Consider the following 23,886-nt stretch of genomic DNA (forward strand, 5'->3'; position numbering starts at 1 on the left):
ATACTAAAAGTTGATGAGAAAATGGGTCTCAGAATTAGTAATAAACTTTGCTAGAATGTTCTACTGACTTAAAAATTAAGAATTGGAAGAATTTTATAACTAAAATATTGTTATATTCTATTTCGATCCATCTTACCAGCATAAGTTGAAATTTTTCTTATGTGAAGTTACTCCAATTTCACCCTTTTTAACTTTGAGAACATGAGCTAATTTCTGTGCTCTCTCTGCATATTTATATCTAAATCCTAGATTTGCTTGAAAATGAGAATTTTATCAGTTGTCAGAGGCAACTCAACATAGGAGGGTGACGAGGGGAGAAAACAAAATTATATTCAAATGAAACTTAAGCTGGCTCCCATCTGGCTAAACTTTAAGCTTCAAATAAATGCAATTTTCTTTTCTTCACCTCATCCAATCAGACACAGAAGATATTTCTCTAGGGGGTAAGGAGATAGCAATCAAAGGAGGCAAAAGAGGGAAAACTGCCACTGCATCCTCTTACATCCTCATCACCCTACGTTCCTGGCACCATTGGATGGCAGAGGAGCCCATGCTGCTTAAGTCTCTTCATTCTGTGGCTCTTCACAAGCCTTCCACATCTTGGGGAGTGTGATTAAACAGACGAGAAGAGGATATGAGAATATGAGAGGCTGGGAAAAATTCATATGAAGATGCAATCCTCTTGTATTCTTTCTTTCTTTTTCATCTATAGTAGAGGGCTAAGACCATAAAAATTTATCAATTTAGTTCACTGAAAATATTGCACCCTTTCTTGATTTCCGTTGGAATTTGTGAACTGTGTGTGTGTGTGTTATACTTAAAACACATATTTAAGTATCAGTCTGGGATAACAGCTGTAAATTGGAAACCAAGATCAGCAAATACACGGGTTTCCAGCCTCCTGTTCTCATCTGTGGTCCCACGTGTCTTGAGCAAGGCTTTCTTGTTTGGTCTGGCCATTCCTGGCTTCTAGTGAAAGATGACATGATGGATTTCAGAATGATGGGTACCAGCTTTACTCTGTTGTCAGGCAGGGCTCCTGGCTCACCCTGTGGAACTAACCACACCTGGATTAATAAACTAAGTAGGGTAATCCAGTTAAGGGGAGCATCTGTGATGTATTTTCTCTTCTGGGACATTCCTTTATATACAATTCACAAAGGGGAGGCATACTCTCATCAAGGAATCAGTGCATCATCCTAACAGTTAACTCAATGAGATTAGTGGAGATTTATGTCAATGAGCCTAGATTTACTTTCACCACATTCCCCCACCGATTATCCTCCACCAACTGAGAACTACTAGTCAAAGAGGCAAAACTCATTGTCCAGAGAAAACTTTTAGGAGAACTGAAAATAGCCTGTATCCTGATTTTGATGGTGGTTACATGATGGTATACAATTACCAAAACTAAAGAACTGTACATCAAAAAAGGGTAAGTTTTACTGTATAAATTATCCCTCGATGACTCTGACTTAAAAAGAGAACAAAAGAAACAAAGAAAACTGAATCTCAACTGGCATTAAACCAGTATATTGAGTGGAAGAAGAGAGACACAAAAAGCTACACATTGTAGGGTTCCATTTACATGAATAGTAGGTAGAAAAGAAAGAGAATAAATTATTCATCCCTTCCACCTCCACCCCTACACATTCAAACCTCATATTCTTCACCATGCCCACAATCTTAGGAAAAAAAATGTATTTTTCCCAAAGCTGGCCTCACGCTCTCAAAAAGAAACTAGCAAGAGATTTCATAACTGTGTTTCAGAGTCTTGAGTGGGACTATAGTTCAAGAACAGAATCAATTTTGGGTGTTTTGATTCAAATCTCCTAAGGAGAATTCAACTCCAGAGAGAGCTCAATGGTGGTGTACACATAGTCTCTACCTTCCCCACTCCCCAGGTTTAATTAAGCTAAAAAATTTAAGTACATTCAACAAGTAAGGAAGACAATACAATTTGATAACATCTTCCTTTATTTGGTGTAACTTGAAAAAAACAAAACTCATGCTACCATATTTTATTTACTAACAATAGCTAAAAATATCATCCCCCAGGCTCTTTAATTTTGCTAGTAGATTAAAATAAGAAAAATTCCCTTCAGGCAAAACTAACTTTGTTAATGCTCCCATTTCAAACATTATCTTAGGTCAGACATTTCTTTGGAATATTATCTAGCTTTTAAATACACACACACGCACACGTGCACACACGCACACAATATATATAATATTAGTATACTCAATTAAAAAGGTTCAGGAGAGCTCTTCAGCTGGGAGCTGAAGCTCAAGAGTAAACAAGTTCTTCTTGAGAATGAGGAGGAGCATTCTTTATTTTAAATCTAAAAGTATTAACTCAAAAATAATCTAAAACTTACAAAAATTAGCTACTAATCCAACTACTCTATAGGCTTTCGGCAATTCAAAAAACAAAGAGTGTTAAAGTACATGAAGCACCAAAAAAGGGTCTCCTCTGAAAATTGGGCTTGGGCCCTGATATGGTTTGGCTGTATTCTCACCAAAATCTCATCTTGATTTGTAACCCCCACAATTCCCGCGTGTTGTAGGAGGAGCCTGGTGGGAAGTAATTGAATCATGGGGGTGGGTCTTTCCTGTGCTGTTCTCATTATAGTAAATAAGTCTCATAAGATCGGCTGGTTTTAAAAATGGGAGTTCCCTGCACAAGCTCTCTTTGCCTGCTGCCATCCACGTACGATGTGACTGCCATGTGGAACTGTAAGTTCATTAAACCTCTTTCTTTTGTAAATTGCCCAGTCTTGGGGATGTCTTTATCAGCAGCATGAAAACACAATATAGGTCCCTCAATACTTAACTTCTTATGAACTCGGAATGCAAATCAATATAGCTCCTCTATTTTAATATCTTTAAAGCAGTAAACTACGTAAGTAAAACCACCACTCCATACACATCCCAAATGAGGAATCATCCATTCCCCTTATTACTTAAAGAGTCAACCTTCAGTTCCTACATCAATAACATGCGTCACCATTAACTAGGAGGAGCCTGCAGTGAGGGGGTGCCACTGGTTTCTCTTCTTCATAAAACATAAGGCGAGTACCACTCACATGCAATTACAACAGAACCAACCATTTGGACACACAAAATACACATGGACAATACATATGTCAAAAAATGTTTAACCTTTCTCATAAAAGAGCCAAGAATGAGACAATACCTTGAACTCTCAAGTTGACAAAGAGGTTTCTTGGTTTTCTTTTATTGTTGCTATAATTTTATCATATCCCTGCTAAGGGGCCAGAAACATCAAAGGAAACTTTTCAGAGGGCAGTTAGGCAACATCTATCTAAGTAACTATACATACATGCCCACTGACTAGCAATTTCACTTCTAGGAATTTCTTCTAAGTAAAACATTAAAAATGAATCCTTTGCGTTAATTCTGGTGGTAGATATAGCCAGAGGTGTTTTTTACAGTAAAAATTTGGAAACAATCTCAATATATAGAAATAGACATCTTTTGAACATAATGCTATCTAGTCATTAAAGAATATGCCCTTGAAGGATATTTTAAGATATAGAAAGAAGTTACTGATGATAATTTTGAGGGAAGGAAAAAAGAAACCAGGATTCTGAACTTCAGAGGCAGTATGATCCCACATTTTTTATATATACATGTATATGCAAACACATGTATTTATGCAGATAATGTGAGGATACAAATATAGATACAGTAGAGGCTAAAAGGGAACACATCACTATGCCTACACTGTTATCTCATGGTGGCAGAATAGTAAGGGGCTTTAATTTTCTCCTTTAAATATCATTCCCATTTTCTAAAACTTCTACATTTTCAACAGCGGACAAGCATCTGGTTTTTATTGTTGTTTTTGTATGTGTGTGTGTGTGTGTGTGTGCATGTTTTTTTTTTTCCTTAGAGACAGGGTCTTGCTCTGTCGTCCAGGCTAGAGTACGGTGGCACTGTATCCTTCACGAACATATCATAGTTCACTGTGATGCTTGAACTCCTGGGTCTGTGCTAGGACTACAGACACATACCACCATGTCCAGGTAATTTTATTTTATTTTTTGTAGAGACAGGGTTTTGCTGTGTTGCCCAGACTTGTCTTCTGGCCTCAAGAGACCCTCCGGCTTTGGCCTCCCAAAGTATTGGGATTACAGGAAAGAGCCACTCTGCACCTGACCACTAAAATTTTTAATGTATTGATTTTATAATATTAAAATATATTTCTATGTATCTTATACAGTCCAGATTTTGTGTGATATTTTAGGAGAAGTAGGGAAATGGCAGAAAAGAATTCAAGAACAATTATGTGACTATTTTAAAAAATGAAAATACTGATCTTCTCAAAAGTTATAATACAGTATAATTAAATATATAGTATAAATATATAGTATGCAAAAATATATATTTAAGTATATAAATATATTTATATATCAATATAATACTATATATTTATGTATATATGTAAATACATTTATATATTTTATATATGCATAAATTCATATATAGGGTATAAATATATAGTATAATTTAAATATAATAGAAAATATTTGGAAATAAAATCTATGCTATGTCACTTGTCTAAACAGTGGTAGAAATCAAAGGATTACTGTGGGTAAAACAGCTTTATTAATATTCTGTTTTGCTTCTAGAGAACTACTCTTTGCTCAGTAGCTTAAAATGGTGTTAGAATATAAACAAATAAGAAATAACTCATGATTCACTTTTCGGTTATCTTCACCAGATCAATAAACTCCCAGTGCCTGGAATGAGATCTGAGACATAGCTGATGTCCAGTAGGTATTTGCCTAATAACTCTGTGGCCTGGGTTCCCAGGAGGGCGAGGGGATGAAGACAAGAATCCTTTTGTCTTTGCTGTCCTATCTGAGTATCATGCTTGCAACACAGTAGGTGCCCCACAGAAGTGCACTGAATTATACTTAGCCTGGATCCAGGGCCCCCAGAGTTTTGTGTGGTGGTGGCAATAACCCGGCTATGAATGTGGGGTTAATATTAGACCAGAAGCAGCTAGGGAGAGAACGTACCAAAGAGCAGAGTCAGAAGTGAGGAGGTTTAGCTTGTTTAGGGAGTTGCAAATGGGCAAAATGCAAGCTGATTTTGGTTGTTAGTTTTCTTTTGAATTGCATTAGAAATTTAAGGCAAAAAACAGGCAGAAGCCAGATTACAGAGACTTTCAAGGCCCAAAGCAGTAAGGGTTTTTCCACAGACCTTGGCTTGAATGGGGGTGAATGACTACTCAATCATTTTCTTATTAGTCGGAACCCTGAAATTGCTTTCTCATGCCGCACTTATTCCCATTCCCTGGATTGTGTGTGAAGATGTCCACGAGCAATAAAAGGTGTGTAACACTTAGCCAGCCATTTCTGCCTGGGTTTTAGATACATGGCTTTTACGTAGATAGTAGTTGATGGCTTTCATTTGGAATTTTTTTTTTTTTTTTTGAGATGGAGTCTCGCTCTGTTGCCCAGGCTGGAGTGCAGTGGCACGATCTCTGCTCACTGCAAGCTCTGCCTCCCGGGTTCATGCCATTCTCCTGCCTCAGCCTCCCAAGTAGCTGGGACTACAGGCGCCCGCCACCACACCCGGCTAATTTTTTTTTTTTTTTGTATTTTTAGTAGAGACGGGGTTTCACCATGTTAGCCAGGATGGTCTCGATCTCCTGACCTCGTGATCCACCCGCCTCAGCCTCCCAAAGTGCTAGGGTTACAGGCGTGAGCCACCACGCCCGGCCTCATTAGGAAATATTTTAAACGGAACATTATCTTTCCGATAAAACCCTGGCAAAACACTGAGACAAATGAGAAACACAGAAGCTGTTTTAAGGCCTAGCTCCAGGAGGATGAGACCAAGGTTCTATTCGGCAGCTAAAAGGATGGACACTGTCCTTTTATTTAAAAGACATGTCTTGTGGCTCCTTCTTATATGCACATAGGAAATGTCACTCATTCTTATTTTCTAATCTATCAAGAAGCCCTTCTAGGAGGGGGAGAAGCCTAGGGATATGGGGACATCACAAAGAGCCAGAAGTGGCACCAACAGAAAGGCTGTGAGCAGGAATTGCATGGTGACAGATGATGATCACCCTTCCTTGTATCACTGTGTGCCAGGCAACTCATCCCTTAAGATAAACCCTGACACAAAATAATGAATTTGAATAAAAAAATGTGTAATGCATTCATTAATGTGAAAACAGACAATGCTCTGTTGAGTAAGTAATTTCAAGGTGAATTGCCTTATAATGGGGTGGGGGTTGAGGGGAACTTTTTAAACTCTTTCAGCTGTGACCTACAGTATGAAACACATTTGTACTACATCCCAGTACACAGGCAGATGAATGTAAAACTGATTTAATGAAACACTTCCCTTTGCTACTTGTGAGGCACTCTAAAAATTATTTTATTCCATTTTGAAACCACTATCCAAAATTCACTAAAGTCATTTCGTTACCCCCTGATGAGTCACTATTCTCAATTACTTCCAGAGAGTAATCCATTTGACTGCCTCCTTCCAGTTATTTTTTTTCCTATTTCTTGAGATAAAAAGCCTCCACAACCACATCTCATGAACTACTCAAAGCTAGAAATCAAAGGACTCAAGGTCATGACTAAAGAGGAATACTCAAAAATGACAGAAATTATAGTATTATCTTAAGCATAAATACAGACAACCATGTGGCATGGGATCCGATGAAGTAAGAATAAAGGTTCAGGAAACGGTCTCTTTTGCCCATCTCACCAGCCACGATGACCAGTGTTTTAAGGGAAAAACAACACAGTCAACAACCAGAAGGTTAGATTGATCTTGTTTGGCTGTTTAAATTTGTTTCCTTATCACCTGAAAACCCAAACCTCTAGTTAGCCAAAATAGTTCAGTAAGTGTTATTGGCTATGATTCTAACTTTTCCTCAAGGTCAGGGGCAGCAAAGAATCTGGGGCTCCATCCCACATAAAGAGAACAAAGATCTTGAGTTCCATTGGTGAGTATCTAGCAGCAGCAGGACCCATCTGCTGGTTTCTCACCTCCTTCCGACTGCCAGTGATGGTATCATCCTGAGGGTGCACAACGCTCCACCACAGACAGCCCCCACTTCTGGCCAGCCAGGTTCCCAATGCTGCCTCCATCAGGATGATAGTGACAGGCAATATCTGCTGAGCACAGGCTGTGTATCTGGCACTGCGGCTAAGAGCCTTCCCATTGCCTTCTACTATCTCATGTAACTGCCTGTGCTGACTGGGAGATTTTACGGATTATTTACTGTCCCAATTATGCCCCCGACAACAAAGAATTTAACTTTCTAACAAAACTGTCTTCTGTCCAGTTCAGTATGGTAGCCACTAGCTGCCCCGCTCCAACCCGTGCAGCCTCTCCAAGCTTTACATACATGTTGGATTAAAGGACAATCTTATACTAGAATTGGGATGGAACTGATACTAATTATGGGGCAGATGGAGCTGGCGGGAGAAAAGCTGCAAAGAAAGATATGCAAATATGCAATTCAATACAGTGTGAGATGTGCCTCAACAGGGCGAAGGGCAGGATTAAGCCCAGGTCTCAGGGAGCTGTGCCCTCAGGGAGAGAGGCTGAGAAGTGGGTCTGAATTGTACAAGCACAGGGATGGAAAGGACATTCTGGAATGAGGACCCAGTGTGGGCCATGGCCCAGGGTGAAGAGGAAGCACGTCACACTGAGATTTCTGGGGCGTGGTGGTGTTGCAAAGAAGTTTGGGCTTCAGCCTAAGAGGAATCATGGCCCAATGGGAGTTTTAGACAGGTCTGACAATGCTGTAGGAAAAAATACACAGTTGCAGGATGAAGCAGGGGCGGATTGGAGGAGGCAAGTATGCAGGCCATACAATGGTGATCTGAATTAGAGTGATGGGAGTACATATGCAGAAAAATCAGGAGATTTAAGAAATATGGGTACTGAATTAACAGGACGTGGCCGCTGGCTGACTGTGGATGTGAGGCAGTGACTGAAGATGGCAGCAAGTTTCAGGCGCCAACAACGGGGTAAATGGTGACCCCAGGGGTCAGGAGGAGCCACAGGTGGAGAGAGGAGCTAGTGCATTTTCACTTTTTCTTGATTGCAGGAGCCAGGCCTTCCAGTCTAACCCACTGTTAGGGAGAAATGATCCAGAGCATACGAGCAAAGGGGAATGTACCTCCTGCCTTCGTGAGTAAAGGGAAAGAAACCTACATAGGAAGCATGAATATTTATACATTTAGTTTGATATTTTCCTCTTTTATTTTTTATGTCATAAGTAATGTCTATTCATTATCAAAAATATAAAGAGTACAGAGAAGCAGAATCAGGATGACCTAGTCAGGAGGCCCAGCAGCCACAGTGCTGCAGGCCCATGATGCTTTCAGAGGCCCCTGAAAATATTTTAAGTTCAATTTAAATCAGAAGGAAAACGTAAATAGAATAATGAATATATAATAATGAATCCGGGCACGATTATATTCATCTTTATAATAATGCAGTCATAAAATGTTAAGTTTTAATACTGTTTTATGAAGGAAGGGACCCACAAAGGCAAAAGTACCTAGGGCACATGAAAGTAATAATATGGCTATAGTGTAGATGAAGAAAGAGCATCCATAAATCCCTATCTATAAATCTCTACCTATAAATCTCTATCATAAATATGCATAAATCTACCATGCCTACATCTGTAAGTCTCTCTCATGTCTATATCTATTAATGATCCATCTATCTTAATATCTCCCTATATATGATCACCCCAAATCCCACCATCTCAGTTAGGTTTCTTCCTCTACCTCCAATTTTTTAATTAGTTTGAAAACTGCCTTTTATCTGAATCTACATGACTGCTCTGTGAAGTGCAAATGCTTCAGCCTTTCTAGGGGTTAATTTGGTAAATAAATAAAAAGCTTTAAGATTTCAAACCATTTGACATAGAACTTCTTCTAAGAATTAATTTACAGGAAATAATCACATGGAATTACAAGGATGTTCATCACAGTGCTATTTCTCATGAAAAAAGGAAATATCCTTAAATATCCTGCAATGAGTCTAGTCAAATTAATTATAGTAGATACACACAATGAAACACTAAGCAGACATTAAATAATGATACAATTATATTTTTGTTATCGTGGATAGTTACAATATATTAAATAATAGAATATTTAAAAATACACGCTTTAATCCTGTATTAATGCCCAAAAAGCGTACAAAGGTATATATGAATCCCTCTTGGTGGCAGAATAATAGATAATTATTGGTTCTGCTTCTCTACATGTTTAAATTTTTTAGCATTGAGCATATATTACCTGTGAATTTAAAAATACTAAAAGTGTGCACTATCTAATTCAGAATCTGTTGGTAGACACTTGGCTAAGGAAATTATTAAGATGTGTGTAAAGACAGAGATATAGGTCTCCGTCTTCATCAAATTTTCCCTCTCTACCAAATCTTCCCCAGGAGCATATAAACATGCTGTTATTTCTCCCACCAATAAAAAAATCTCACTTGACTATAACTTCCCTTTCAGCTTCTACCTTATTTTCTGTATCACTGTGAAGCAAAGCCCCTTTAAATGGTCATCTGTATCAGTACCTCTCAAACTATCTGCAGTGAAAACCAGTTTGTTTTCAATGTCTAACTTGTTGATTAGAAACAGACACTCTTGAAAAAGTATAATGAAAATTAACCACTAGAAAAAGGATCATGGGCTTGAAGGCTGTGGTGATGTCAAATGGTGTAAATGTTTCTAAAAGCCTCCTCTTCACTATCTCCTCACAGCCATCAGTGGCCCACACTGAGCAGCATGCATCTCTACTAATAGTCCCATTGCCTCTGCCCCTACTTGCTCTTAACCCATCTAGTTGGGCTCTCTCCTCCCCCACTCCGGTGAAATCACTCTTGTTCAGGTCACCCTGACCTCCACCTTACTAAAAATCAATGGTCAGTTCTCAGTCCTCATTTAACCCCATCACCTGCAGCATATGACACTGCAATCTCTCCTTCACCTTGAATTGAACTTTCTCTTGAGTTTCTTCCTATGCCCCTGGGAGCCCCACTCAACTCCTTCCCCAGCCTCCTCTTCTCCCCAGCCTCTAAATCTTGGGGTGCTCTAGGCATCAATTCTAGGGCCTCTTCAATGCTTTCATTCAGTCTCATAGCTTTAACTATTATCTATATACTGTTGATGCTCAAAGTTACATCTCCAATTCAAAATCATCCCCTAAACTCCAGACACATATATCCAACTATGAAATCAACATCTCCAATTAGATGTCTAAACAGCATCTCAAAATTAACACAAACAAAACAGAACTCCTAATCTTCTATGCCCCTCCATCAATTTCAGTGATGACTCCCTGCTTCTAGTCATCCATCCTTCACTCCTCTTATTCCCCACTCCACATCCAATCATCCAGGAAAATCCTGTTGGCTCTACCTTTAACATAAATCCTGAATCCAACCTTTTTACAGTACTGCCACTGCTAACACTCTGGTTCAGGACACCATCATCTCTCAACTTGCTTATTGTAGTGGGGTATATTAACTTGCTCTCCCACAGTCTAATCTCAATACATGAGCCACACAATTCTTTGAAATTATAAATCACATAATGTCACATGTATGCTCAATCTGCCCAACGGCTTCTCTTTCTACGTAGAGTAAAAGCCAAATTGGTTACAAGGGCCTACAAGCACCTGAAGAATCTCTCACCCACCATCCCACTTTTTTTTTTTTTTTTTTTGAGACAGAGTCTTGCTGTGTCACCCAGGCTGGAGTGCAGCGGCGTGATCTCAGTTCACTGCCATCTCTGCCTCCCGAATTCAAGCGATTCTCCCACCTCAGCATCCCAAGTAGCTGGGACTACAGGCGCCTGCCACCACGCCTAATTTTTTTTTTTTTTTTTTTTTTTTGTATTTTTAGTAGAGACAGGATTTCACTATGTTGGCCAGGCTGGTCTTGAACTTCTGACCTCGTGATCCACCTTCCTCACCTTCTCAAAGTGCTGGAATTGCAGGTGTGAGTCACTGTGCCCGGCCACCCTCTAGCCTACTCTTATACTATCTTTCCCTGGTTCTCTCTGCTTCAGCCCCACTGGCCTCTGTGTTCTTACTTTCTCATGGCAAACACTCCTGCCTCAGGGTCTTCACATTGGCTGTTCCCTCTTTCTGGAAAACTCTTTTCCAGACACTATCTTGGCCCACTTCCTCACTTCATTCATAATTGTGATCAATGTCACCATCTCAATGAGGCAATCTCATGAGTCCTCCCTTTTCTGCTGCATTTTTCTCCATTTTTCACCATATGACATACTTCTTTATCTGTTTATTACCTTTCTCCAACTAAAATATATGCTCTTTAAGGGAATGGATAGTAGTCAGATTATTTCACTGCTATAGCCCCAGTGCTAACATGTTAAGTGTATTTACTGAGCAAATGTTCATCCCGGTGCTCTTTATAAGAAAAAAAATTGCAAACAATATAAATACCTGTCAATGGGAGACATACTTTCATAAAATGAAATACTATTTATATCCATATCCACAAAATGACCCTATCTATAAAATGGAATACTATGCAATTATTAAAAGTTTGAATGAACTTTTGAATGAACATATTTTCTGAAAGATGTCTCTAACACATTAAGTGAAAAGAATCAGGATATAAAGTAATATGCGTATTAGTTCATTTTTATAATAAAATCACCTAGGAGAATTTGGTACAGTATATGTGATATGGTTTGGCTGTGTCCCCACCCAAATCTCATCTTGAATTTTAGCTTCCATCATTCCCATGTGTTGTGGGAGGGACCCAGTGGGAGATAACTGAAACACGGGAGCAATTTCCTCCTTACTGTTTTCATGGTAGTGAATAAGCAAGTCTCACGAGACAAGGGGAAACCCCTTTCACTTGGCTCTCATTCCCTCTTGGCCTGCTGCCAGGTAAGACGTGCCTTTTGCCTTGGGCCATGATTATGAGGTCTCCCCAGACAGGTGGAACTGTGAGTCCATTAAACCTCTTTTTCTTTATAAATTACCCAGTCACAGGTATCAGCAGCATGAAAATGGACTAATACGATGTGCATTAAGGTAAACTCTTGATCTAAAACAAAAACAAAAAAAATAATGAAAACAATGAACCCTGCGAGGCCTTACATTTGAAGTTTCTTCTGATGATGGTAATGACACAGAAAAGCAGCAAGCTGAGTTCTCACCCGGGCAAGTCGATGGGAAAATAAGTCAGTGCATTTTGGTAGGATTCTTACGGACTCTGGTAAAAAGCAATTTCTCAAACAATTAAATTGCCAATAAAAGACTAAGAAACATGAGAGCTATGCTTCTTGGGGATAGGTATGACTTGCAGAAATGTTAATAGCATTTGCATTTAGGTTCATTTCTTCCTCCATGTGTCAGGTTTATTTAGATACCGCTGTTTCCACGTAAAGATGGGCCAGGCACCTGCCACAGTCCCCAAAAGCTGCACTGGCATTATAATGGAGTGGCCACCAAACCTAGCCCAGAGGATGCTTGCATGGGAAAATAGAGGGGGAGAAATCAGTTGGGCAGAAAATGATGAAAACAGAGGGATTTTTTTTTTTACCACTTCCTATATCTGTTCTGGCAAAATTAATGTTTAACTCCTCTCAAAAGATTCTGATGGTTGATATTTCAAAGGAGAAAAACATGCAGAATGAGAAAAGCATATTTCACAGCCAGGTACGGTGGCTCATGTCTGTAATCCCAGCACTTTGGGAGGCCAGAGCAGTCAGCTTGCTCGAGTCCAGGAGTTCCAGACCAGCCTGGGTAACATGGTGAAACCCTGTCTCTACCAAAAAAAAATTGGTATAGTGTAGAGTAGTGTGTCTGTGTAAAAATTGTGTGTAGTGGCATGTGTCTGTGGTTCCAGCTACTTGGGAGGCTGATATGGGAGGATCACTTGAACCTGGGAAGCAGAGGTTGCAGTGAGCTGTGACTGCGTTACTGCACTCCAGCCCGGGTGACCCTGTCTCAAACAAACAAACAAACAAACAAACAAACAGAAAAGCCCATTTTGCTTAATTCTCTGTCCAAAAGCTGAGAGTCGTCACACCTGCATGGGAGAGGTAAGTCCTTTGGTCCGTGCTTTGAGGTTGCCTATTCCCCAGGAGCCCTTTATAACAAGGCCTGTGGGCATTTCCATAATTCTCTTGTACAAAATGGAATAGTCAGTTCAGGTTATACATATGTCACTCAAGAACAGGTGACAACAAAGTTCAAGTATAACTAATGTAGTGGTTACAGTCAGCATATTGGTTACATAACAAGGAGTACCACAGTAGCTTTAGAGCTGGGGGCCACCTGGACAATCCCAGCATTTCCCCGCCTAGGAACATGAGGACCATACAGGAGACACTTGTCTAGAGCTGCTTGGTAGTGGAGCCAGAACTAGAATCCAGGTCTTCTAATGCTTAATCTCTCTTAGGCACTGTGAGTGGCTCTTGCCACCCCAGAGTAATATCCACTTAGCCATGATCTGAATTCCCAGGGAAGGGTAGGTCCAAACTTGGGAGGGGGCCATCGGGCTGCCTAGGAATCAACTGCAGAGTCTATTAAGCTTGCTGATTTCTGGATTCCCCTGCAGGAATTTGCATTTCACAGAAGCTCCCCAAAGTGAATCTGATACACAGCCAAGTCAGGAATCACTGGACTAAGTTATACAAGACAGAAGAGCAAAGAAACCAGCAGATTTCCATTTAAAAAAATGCAAGTCATTCTCCTTACTCACTCTATAAAAAAAAACATGGAAATATGTAATTATAAAGCTCAAAATAGCTTCTTCAGGGAAAAAAAATGTGATTCACACTTCTAAAGATGCTCAGGCCACAGCTGCAATCTGTTCTTGCGGCCAAAACCCTTGGGAAGCCAAATTAAGGGAAGCCACATTGGGTTTGTTTGCTGGGATCTAAAACTGTGTCCTGCTCCCTGCAGACAGGCCAGAAAGCCCTCTCTGGGAGGAAGAAAGCGAGCTCACTCCAGAGAGACAGGCAGCCAGAAGACCTGCCAGCTGGAGCTGCCCCTGATAGCCTGGCTTCCTACAGCCACCATCTGAAGGGACCTGGCTCCCATCAAGTCCTGGTGGATAGGAGCACCTGCTGAGGAGGAGGCATCTTTGGAAAAGTGCTGTTTACTGGCCTCTCGGAGTCCTCACTGGAGTCCTGCCTAGAACAGAGATTGAACTCTGTGCTGGTTAAAGTCGAACCCATTTCCCATAGAGCGGGAGTGGGTAGAAAAAAAGCAGCAAGCTGAGAGCTGTCTGGAGGCAGTTGGGGATATAATAAATTAGGAAGTCACACAGCTGTGTGTTCTGAAACACAAGATTGAAAATAGATCATTTTTTTCCTCTTGGGGGAACATACTGTAGTGTTGATATTTTCTAATTCAAATTTGGACTCAGTGGGCCTTCTCAACCAAATTACCCTGAGGAGGAGCGGGAGGGAGAGGGATGAAGAGGAGCCCTTTAGTATAACTCATTCTCACTTATTTTAGAAGAAAACAAGAATGTTGTTTGAGAGGTTTCAGGGTAAAATGCAAAGTTTATTAAAAATTTAGCAATGTCTGAAGAATATTTTTGGAACTGACCCTGAAGCAAACAGAAAGCTACTCTATTCATGCAACAAACGCTTATTAAATGCAGACTACATGTAAAACACTGTGCTAGAAGTTAAGATGGAAGCTGAATTCACTAAGAGTCTAGTCCTCAAAGGGCTTACAGTCTGTAAGGAAGACAGGATATTTACAAAGAAAGTGAAAGCAGTGGGTGATAGCATTGCACCATAGTTAAGGGCAAACAGCACAGGAGAATCTCACAATAATTCACTCCATCTAATACCTGCATCACCTCAGTCTACTTAACCTCTCCCTTCATCTCAGGTTCCTTATTTGTAAATGAAGATGTTGCAGGGGTTAACAGAGGTAACGTGTGCTTATTATTGACTCTGGGAATTCTCTGTTACATAGAAAGCATCCAATAAATGGCAGTGGTCTCCCTCTTTTTAAAAAAGCAAATTCCTTTTTTTTTTTTTTTGAGATGGAATCTCACTCTGTTGCCCAGGCTGGGATGCAGTGGCATGATGTTGGCTCACTCCAACCTCTGCCTCCCGAGTTCAGGCGATTCTCCAGCCTCAGCCTCCCATGTAGTTGGGATTACAGGCTCCCACCAGCATACCTGGCTAATTTTTGTATTTTAGTAGAGACGAGGGTTTCACTATGTTGGCCAGGCTGGTTTCAAACTCCTGACCTCATGTAATCTGCCCGCCTCAGCCTCCCAAAGTGGTTGGATTACAGGTGTAAGCCATCCTGCCCAGCCAAAATCAGCAAGTGGTTTTTGATTGAAGTTCAAGTGCCCAAGGCTGGGAGACCTGATTGGCATCCACCTTCTAATCTATTCCAACCACCAGGTAAATCTTTACAACCAAAGGCTCCAGGTTAAGGATGAGAAATAAAAGCATTCTAGAGCTTTCTGTCCTCAAGCTGCTCCCCTAACTACTGCAGACTCCCTGAGGGAAAAACTGACACTGTAGGAAGCCACAGTGTCTGCAAAAAGTGTTTTAAAGACTTTAGCTGTGGGTATGCTTCTGTTTTGTTTTTTTATTTTTTTTCCATTTGTTTGTTTCACTCATGTATATTTTGGTTTTGAAAACTTTACAGTTAGCATTTCATCATCTTTTCAGTGCAGTTTGACATCCTGATTTCTGTTGTTTTACTTTATTTTAGTGAGGTTAGTTTATTTTACTATCTATTAGAATCTTCTAGCATTCTGCTTATACTTTCCCTCCAATTTCATGCTGCCTTCCATACTAATATTCTACTTTTACAACTTATGAGGACTTTGAAGGGTATGGCCTGGTACATCACGATCCTACAAGAAATGCTGAGAACAGTGATTACTGCTTTGGAAAAAAAAAATAACCCGTGGGTCCAAGCTTGAGATTTAGAAGAGACTGGCATCTCTGGAACTAGGGAAAGATGGTTTTTGCACTTTACACCTTTGGAATGAGACTAGTCACTTTAATACTCATTTTACTGATGAGACGTGATGATGTCATCCTGCAAATGGCCTCCGTCATTGATTGGAATCCTGTTATATTTGTGATTTTGTTTTATGATGTTTCTCCTGCTATAAGATGCTTGTATCCTGAATTTAAACTTCCTCATGTATATAACCACTGGGATTTTAGGAAAACGACATCCACTAGCATTGGAAAAGACCAGAAGGGAAGGTGGATGTAAGTTTCATCCAAGGAAGGTCCCTGACAGCAACACCGTTGACCTGCTTTGGGAAGAATTAGGCGGCAGTGCGTCTCTCTCAGATCTCTAAGGGCAAGCAGAGGTGCTCAGCCAGGCTCTGGACACCACTTCCAGATGGAGCCTCACTCTGTGGCAGCAGAGTCCCTTCCTCCTCCACAGCCCTCCCGGGCAAGCCTCCTGCCAGGCAGGGCTCCAGCACCTTTTGCTCTTTCAGACACAAGAGGCCGGAGTTAGAACTGATTTTAAATACTTCTATTTTGAATTTTTCTTCAAGTTATATTTTTTAAAACAATTTTTTTGGCTAAAAGAAACATTTTTGTAACAATACATGACTGTGTGTGTGTGTGTGTGTGTGTGTGTGTGTGTGTGTGAAGAGAAGGAGAGAAAAAGAGGGTGAATGATAAAACATATGTGGCAAAATGTTGGCATAACTATAGATGAACCTGGGTGAATGAGTTATTTTGGCCAGGCGCAGTGGCTCACACCTGTAATCCCAGCACTTTGGGAGGCTGAGTCAGGCGGGTCACTTGAGGTCAGGAGTTCGAGACCAGCCTGGCCAGCATGGTGAAAACCCATCTCTACTAAAAATACAAAAATTAGCCCAGTGTGGTGGTGCATTCCTGTAATCCCAGGTACTCGGGAGGCTGAGGCAAGAGAATCGCTTGAACCCAGGAGGCGGAGGTTGCAGTGAGCCGAGATCACACCACTGCACTCCAGCCTGGGCAACAGAGTGAGATCCTGTCTCCAAAAAAAAAAAAAAAAAAAAAAGAAATCTTTGAACTTTCTTGCCAAAAAAAAATATCAATTCTCCCTTACCAATTCTCATGCCCTTATTCTTTCAAATGAAGTCTAGAGTCATCCCGTGAAGTTTCCATCCTAATTCCCAGTGATACTTTGGAATGTGATATGAGCCTGTCCACTAATGTAGAGGAACTTGCAACCTTTGCATATTGTTTTCTAACCAGGAAGAAAACATTTTGCTTCTCTATTTATTTGAAATGTCTATTGTATATTTTGGCAAAGTCTTACAGTTTTCTTCACCTAAGTTTCCAAGATGTTTTCCATTGGGATTATTCCAAAGTAGTTTACATTTTCATTGCTACTGTTATAATCTTTTTTTTCCATTTTATAATTATTGCTGACATATGGAACATCTACTAAGTTTCGTTTATTCACTATCTAGCTACTCTTCTAAACCACATTAGCTTATCCTTTGCTTCTTCAGGGATAGAAAGTCTTATTACCTACAGTTTAAAATATTTGTTTCTATCGATGAACTCTACCTCTAATGTGTTTGTAAGTTTTCCAGATCAAGGAGAAATAGTAATGGTGAATAATAATCAGCATCATATAGCATCCCAGTTTAGTCTCAGTTTTTGATGGGAAAGCTGTTTTGGTATCTTTATTTTAAGAATGATGCTAGCTTGTCACTTTCTGGCAGATTTTTTTTTTTAATGATAAGAGTGTGTCCTAGTCCATCATCTTTAATGAATATATTAAATATTATGAAACACTATTTTAACATTATTGGGTTTAAATTGAAATTAGCATCTGGGTTTTCACATTGAGCTTATTCATGTGAGATGGAGCACTGACCTGTTTCATATTTTCAAGCTCCTCTTGCTTCCCTGAGACAAATGAATATTTGAGCCAAATTCAGTGTCCACTGCTAGCAAATGCAAAGGCTTTTGTAACATGTACTTTTCATCATCCATTTTTTCATTTTACTTTTTATTTGCCGTGGTTTTTACCATTTATCATTATTTTTTATTATCTTCAAGGTTTCCTATAAACCACCCCAATTTTTAGGGGAAGTGAGGCCAGGAATGAAAGAAAAAGAAAAGGGTATGTATTAATAAACAGTAGAAAGCATAACAAAGAGACACAGATAAAGTGCTACAGGAGTTCTGAGGGAGCTGTAATGCCCTCCCACAGTGAAGATGAGGCGAGGAATCAGAACAGTCACCCAAACGATGCTTGAGATGAACCAGAAGTGTTTCTATAAGGCGTTAAGAAGACAATGGGAGCCTGTGCCTTTCAACAGGTCTGTATCTCTCATTACCAGCTTGGGCAAATCTACCAGGCTCACCTCTTAGCCATGACCTCTAAGAGACAACAGGAATGGATGCTGATTGGGGCCAGCTATATCTTTTCAGAAATAATGTAAAAAGGAATAAGTCCTTAAAAAGTCTATGATAAATATTATTTTCATCCATTTATAATTGAGATGTGCTTAGTATAGTCTCCTTTTAAACTGCCAAGTTTAGTTGCTCTCTGTAACCACTTCCTATGGGGATGAACATTTTCCTGCAATTTCAGAAGTATCTCCAAGTACTGCTTTCTGAAACACAAACAAAGCACCACAGAACTTCAGATTCTTAGGATATCCACAAAATGCACAGAAACAGTTGGCTTTGCTGCAAGATGCATCTTGGTATCTCTAAGCTTGTGCATATTCAAGTTAATTTATTTCTTCCACAAATAGTGCATTTTACAGTTAACAAAGCACTTTAACTAACATTTCCTCACCTGATTCTCAGATGAGAATGATGACGATCATGACTGATGATGACTGATGATGATATCCCTATGTTACAGATGGGGACAGTAAGGGGCAAGATGAAGGTTAACCATCATGGCAAAAGTCCTCGTATCAACTATGCCTATCACAAGGGCTTCTGATCCTGAATGCAAGAATTTTACATGAAGTTCTCTCCTGCCTTGGAGAATACCATTATAAATCCCACTATTAGTTTTTTAATTATTTAAAACAATCACCTTCAAATGACTTTTATGCTCTCTCCTATGATGATTTTAATTTAGACCAAAAGTGTCTGCAACTTCCTAATGTCAAAGTTAGGCTTTAGAACATTTGTTTTTGTTTTACTTTAAACTTAAGGTTGAAATAGAATGTAAGAGTAGAACGTGAAAATTCAGGGCAGAATCAAGATCTGAGAGCATTCCACTTTGCATAAGCAAGAGTACAAGCTCGTATTTGGAGAAAAAAAAAGGTCCTTAAGAGATTTAACTGTTAAAAGCTAATTTTCTTGAGTTTTCTTTAGCCAGAATGTATTCCCCAAGAATGAAAGTGACGGATGGTACTTCTCAAGGTACAAAAACACCAATGTCCCAGAGTTAAGTGTCTATTCTAATTGCTGCTGCACTCCAAACAGTCCTTCAGGTTGCTCATCTGTGTTATTTTTACTTGCTAAAGCAGAGGTGTCTGGGTGATGAATTATACAAGGTGCTCCACTCGGCACCACTGGTGTATTATAATAAATATTGCCATGGAAAGACAAAGTAAGGAAATGGTGAACATTTTCATAATGTGTAATGTAGGTTTCTTTCTTGCTTTTTTTTAAAAAAAAACCCAGAGCAGTAGTATTAAATTGTAATCTAATTATAAACGGTCAAACAGGTGAATTTGGCAAAACTGTTTCAAGGCTTCAATCACAAATGTATGTCCATTCTGCTCTTCAAAATACACCTGAGAATAACCCCCACACAAAAGCATAATTGAAGAAGTGGAAATATCCATTTGCTAAAAGGACAGTAATGCAGTGGAGCCCTAGCATCTTAGTGATGAAAGAAGAAATGCATTATAATCAAACCTCAATTTCCATTTTTCTGCAATCTTTGATATTGCTGCATTTAAAAAGATACTAGTGCATTTCCCCAATTCTCAATGAAGACAAAATGACAGAGGACTGTAATCTGGCTTCAATTTGTTATGGTTTTCTGCATCAGTAAGGACACTGCAGAAAAGACTGTAAAGAGACAGAATTAAGGGTTTCAAGTAATTATTTATCCCATCTTAACATAACTCCAGTTTTCTTTAGATATCTAACATCCTGTGGTCATATAACATACTCAGGAGAGGTATGTTATACTAATGGGTAATGGGTAATGGCTAATCCAACCTCTGGACAGTCCCATTCCCTGTCCATGGCTGGGCTAGGCACAGTCACACGCCAAAGTGTCAGCCAAGAAAACACGAGAGAAAGTGTGCTGAAAGTCTTCCAAAAACACTTCTACACACCTAAAAGAGATCCACCGGAAGAGATGGCCTCTTGTTCCTCTGACTATGTGAAGGTAGCCATCATCTTGCTACCAGACACAGAACAGAAAGATGAAAATAACTTGGGTCCCTAATGACATCACCGGACAGGTATGCTAACCAGCTCTAGGATCTACACAACTCTGGACTTATGCAATACATGTCCTTGGCAGGACATTTTGAGTTGAGATTTCTACTACTTGTAGCTGAAATTGTCCTAACTGCTGCATTATTAGGCCAGGACTGGGGTGAGCCTGTACACCATCATGCTCACAAGTCTGTCACACCCAGAAAATATAATCTAATTCTAGCGTGTTATTCCCATAACTGGGACATTTCTTTTCATTATTAAAATCCTTCTATTGGTTTCCACTGCCTGTAAGGTAAAGTCAAAACTCTCTGCATGGCAAATACTTGTGATCTGACAACTGCTTCTGCTAGCACCTCTGCCCTTTGCTTCCTCCCTCAAACCCTCTGCATTAACTACATGGAACTAGAATCCCTTGAACCTCCAGGTCTTCTAGCCTACCATTTCTCACTGCCTGGAATTTTCAACAGCCGCCTCCCACCATCCACACAGCCATGACTGCCTGATATCTCTTTGTCTTTGTGAACCCCACGTGCAGGTATCTCTTCTTCTCTATCACACCTTGCAAGACTCTCCTTTCCCCAGCCCTGCCCAGTTCTTCACAAACAGAAGGAATGAAGTATTGCCTCCCAGAGATATGAATGTGACTCAAATGTAATGTTACAAATGGAAAAATGTTTTATAATCATTTATTTATGTGAAGGACCCTCCAGTTAGTGTGAGCTGCCTGAGGATGGAGAATGGGTTCTAAATCCATGTCCACAGTGACCCTGATCCTGACTCATAGAGGTGCCCTACAGTTATTAAGTGAATAAATGAATGAGTGAGGAAAATAAAATATCTTAGCTGTACCTGACATCGGAATATAATTGGGTAAGGTTCTACCTATTCAAAAGAGAGTAATTGATCCATTTGTACCAGAAATCAAGTATTCCTGGCACTCATCAACAATGTATTTATTTACTTATGTTTTTAGTTTTTTGAGGCAGAGTTTCATTCTTGTCACCCAGGCTGGAGTACAATGGGGCAATATCGACTCACTGCAACCTCTGCCTCCTGGGTTCCAGTGATTCTCCTGTCTCAGCTTCCTGAGTAACTGGGAATACAGGCATGCACCACCATGCCCGGCTAATTTTGTATTTTTAGTAGAGATGGGGTTTCACCATGTTGGCCAGGCTGGTCTCGAACTCCTGACCTCAGGTGATCCACCCGCCTCGGCCGCTGAAAGTGCTGGGATTACAGGCGTGAGCTACCATGCCCAGCCAATAATTTATTATTTCTTTCAGGACAAGTGCTTTAATAACAACAATAAAAAATAGCTACCATTTCTTTTTCCCCAGCTAGGAGCTGGGCATCTTCTTAATGACTTCACATTGACAGTAAGCACATGTGTATTCATCTGTGCTATGCCTCCTGTTTTCTGTAAGGGCACCACTCCCTGCCCCCTCCACTCTCACTGACCCTGCACACACAGGGTCAGTGTGCAGGGAATATAACTCTTCTTTTGAAGACTTGCTCCTTTCTTGAAATAGTCTGTTTTCACGCTGCTGCTAAAGACATACCCAAGACTGGGTAATTTATAAAGAAAAAGAGGTTTAATGGACTCACAGCACCACGTGGCTGGGGAGGCCTCACAATCATGGTGGAAGGCAAAAGGCAAGTCTTACATGGCGGCAGGCAAGACAGAATGAGAACGGAGCAAAAGGGGTTTCCCCTTATAAAACCATCAGATCTCGTGAGACTTTTTCAGTACCATGAGAACAGTACAGGGGAAACCACACTTACGATTTGATTATCTCCCACTGGGTCCCTCCTATAACACGTGGGAATTATGGGAGCTACAATTCAAGATGAGATTTGGGTGGGGACACAGCCAAACCATATCATCCCTCAATCTTCAATCTTGTTCTTCTGACTGGGGCTGCCAATTATCCAATTCAGGCTATGGGGATATGTGACCACATCCAGGTCCCTAAGTATTCTTCTTTGTAATTTTTGAAACTGAAACTAAGAGAAAATATGTCTTGCTCACAAAAGAGCCTCATGAATAAAGCAGGTTAAAAAGAAAACTTTTAACCAATATATAGAAGATAAAGAAACAAGGGACATTGTTCCAGGCCCTAGATCCAGCTGTCATTTATGCCACAGCACCCTCCTCACCTAACTTTCAGTTTGCTCATGGAAAGTGAGGTTCTATCACTTGCAAAAAAAATTACCCATATTCTTTTTTTTTTTTTTTTTTTTTTTTTTTTTGGAGACAGAGTCTCGCTCTGTCGCCCAGGCTGGAGGGCAGTGGTGCAATCTCAGCTCACTGCAAGCTCCGCCTCCCAGGTTCACACCATTCTCCTGCCTCAGCCTCCTAAGTAGCTGGGACTACAGGCACCCGCCACCATGCCCGGCTAATTTTGTATTTTTTGTAGAGATGGGTTTCACCGTGTTAGACAGGACGGTCTTGATCTCCTGACCTTGTGATCAGCCCACCTTGGCCTCCCAAACTGCTGGGATTACAGGCGTGAGCCAACACATCCGGCCCTAAAATTACTCATCTTCTAACTAGGACAACATCCATTATCTCATTTCAGGCTCCAACCAACTGCGTGCAGCACAGTTCCTCATTTATCTCATAAATAAGGAACCAGCGGCTCAGAACAGAGAAGAAACATTCTCAAGGCATACAGCCAGTGACTGAGCTGTGATTCCAAGATGGGTCATTCAGATGCCCAAATGCAATCACTCTACTTTCTTGCCTCTGTCTACACTGTCTTTCTTTTTCTTTTTTTTTTTTTTTGGCTTCCTAAATTCCAGTTTGAGCTCAGTAAACTCAGATACGCAGTAGGTGCAAGTAAGTCTTCCCTTCACTAATAAACATAGATGCCATTGCTCTTGATTAACTCCTGAGAGTGTTACAGCCTTCAACTGAATAACCTTGACAAAGTGCTCTGAGAATGTAAATAGACATTATTTTGGACCACGCTATTAGAGGTAACATTTGCTTCTTGCAATGTCAATAATTGGGAAGCAGGAAAATAGTGCTGTTTTTTTTTTTAAAGCAACCTTAGAAAACTGAACATAAATATTTGGTATCAGTAATTAATTGAACATTAATATGTTTGCTTTAGACACCAAAATATAATTGGTATTTCAGAGGTGGGTTTCCTCAACAGACCAAAAATTAAAATCAAAAGAGAAATGCTTTCTAGAAAATTGGATCTTTCTACTTTTGTAAACATCCTTTCTCCCCAGCAGTTAGATTTTTAATTGAGTACTTCTTTGGTCTTAGCACTTGCTTATAGAACTAAAGTGACCATGGTCTTCAAGGTTAATTATTAACACAAATCTGAGAAGTGTTCAGAACTATGAACTTAGGAATGGAGAAAAATAATCACATACAAACCAAGTGAAGATAGATTTGTGTGTAAATCTAATTTTCCTCAGAAGAAAAA

General features: G+C 40.0%; 1 protein-coding gene across 14 annotated transcripts in view, besides 2 other annotated features; it reads right to left on the bottom strand.

The window, feature by feature from the left end:
- Positions 1 to 23,886, bottom strand: part of ELMO1 (engulfment and cell motility 1) — a 596,421-nt gene that overhangs the window by 216,794 nt on the left and 355,741 nt on the right. The gene's annotated exons all lie outside the window — the stretch shown is intronic.
- Positions 8,549 to 8,873: an origin of replication, noted in NCBI's record as "hors8 amplicon; detected by quantitative PCR of lambda exonuclease-treated nascent strands; allows replication of a plasmid". NCBI's record gives the evidence for it as "EXISTENCE:genetic transformation evidence [ECO:0005027][PMID:16823771]" and "EXISTENCE:nuclease protection assay evidence [ECO:0001106][PMID:16823771]".
- Positions 8,572 to 8,760: a protein binding site, noted in NCBI's record as "186 bp probe similar to core monkey ors8 sequence". NCBI's record gives its function as "recruits topoisomerase (DNA) II beta" and the evidence as "EXISTENCE:protein binding evidence [ECO:0000024][PMID:19638425]".

Source organism: Homo sapiens, chromosome 7, assembly GCF_000001405.40.
Source record: "Homo sapiens chromosome 7, GRCh38.p14 Primary Assembly".
Classification (NCBI taxonomy): Eukaryota; Metazoa; Chordata; class Mammalia; order Primates; family Hominidae; genus Homo; species Homo sapiens.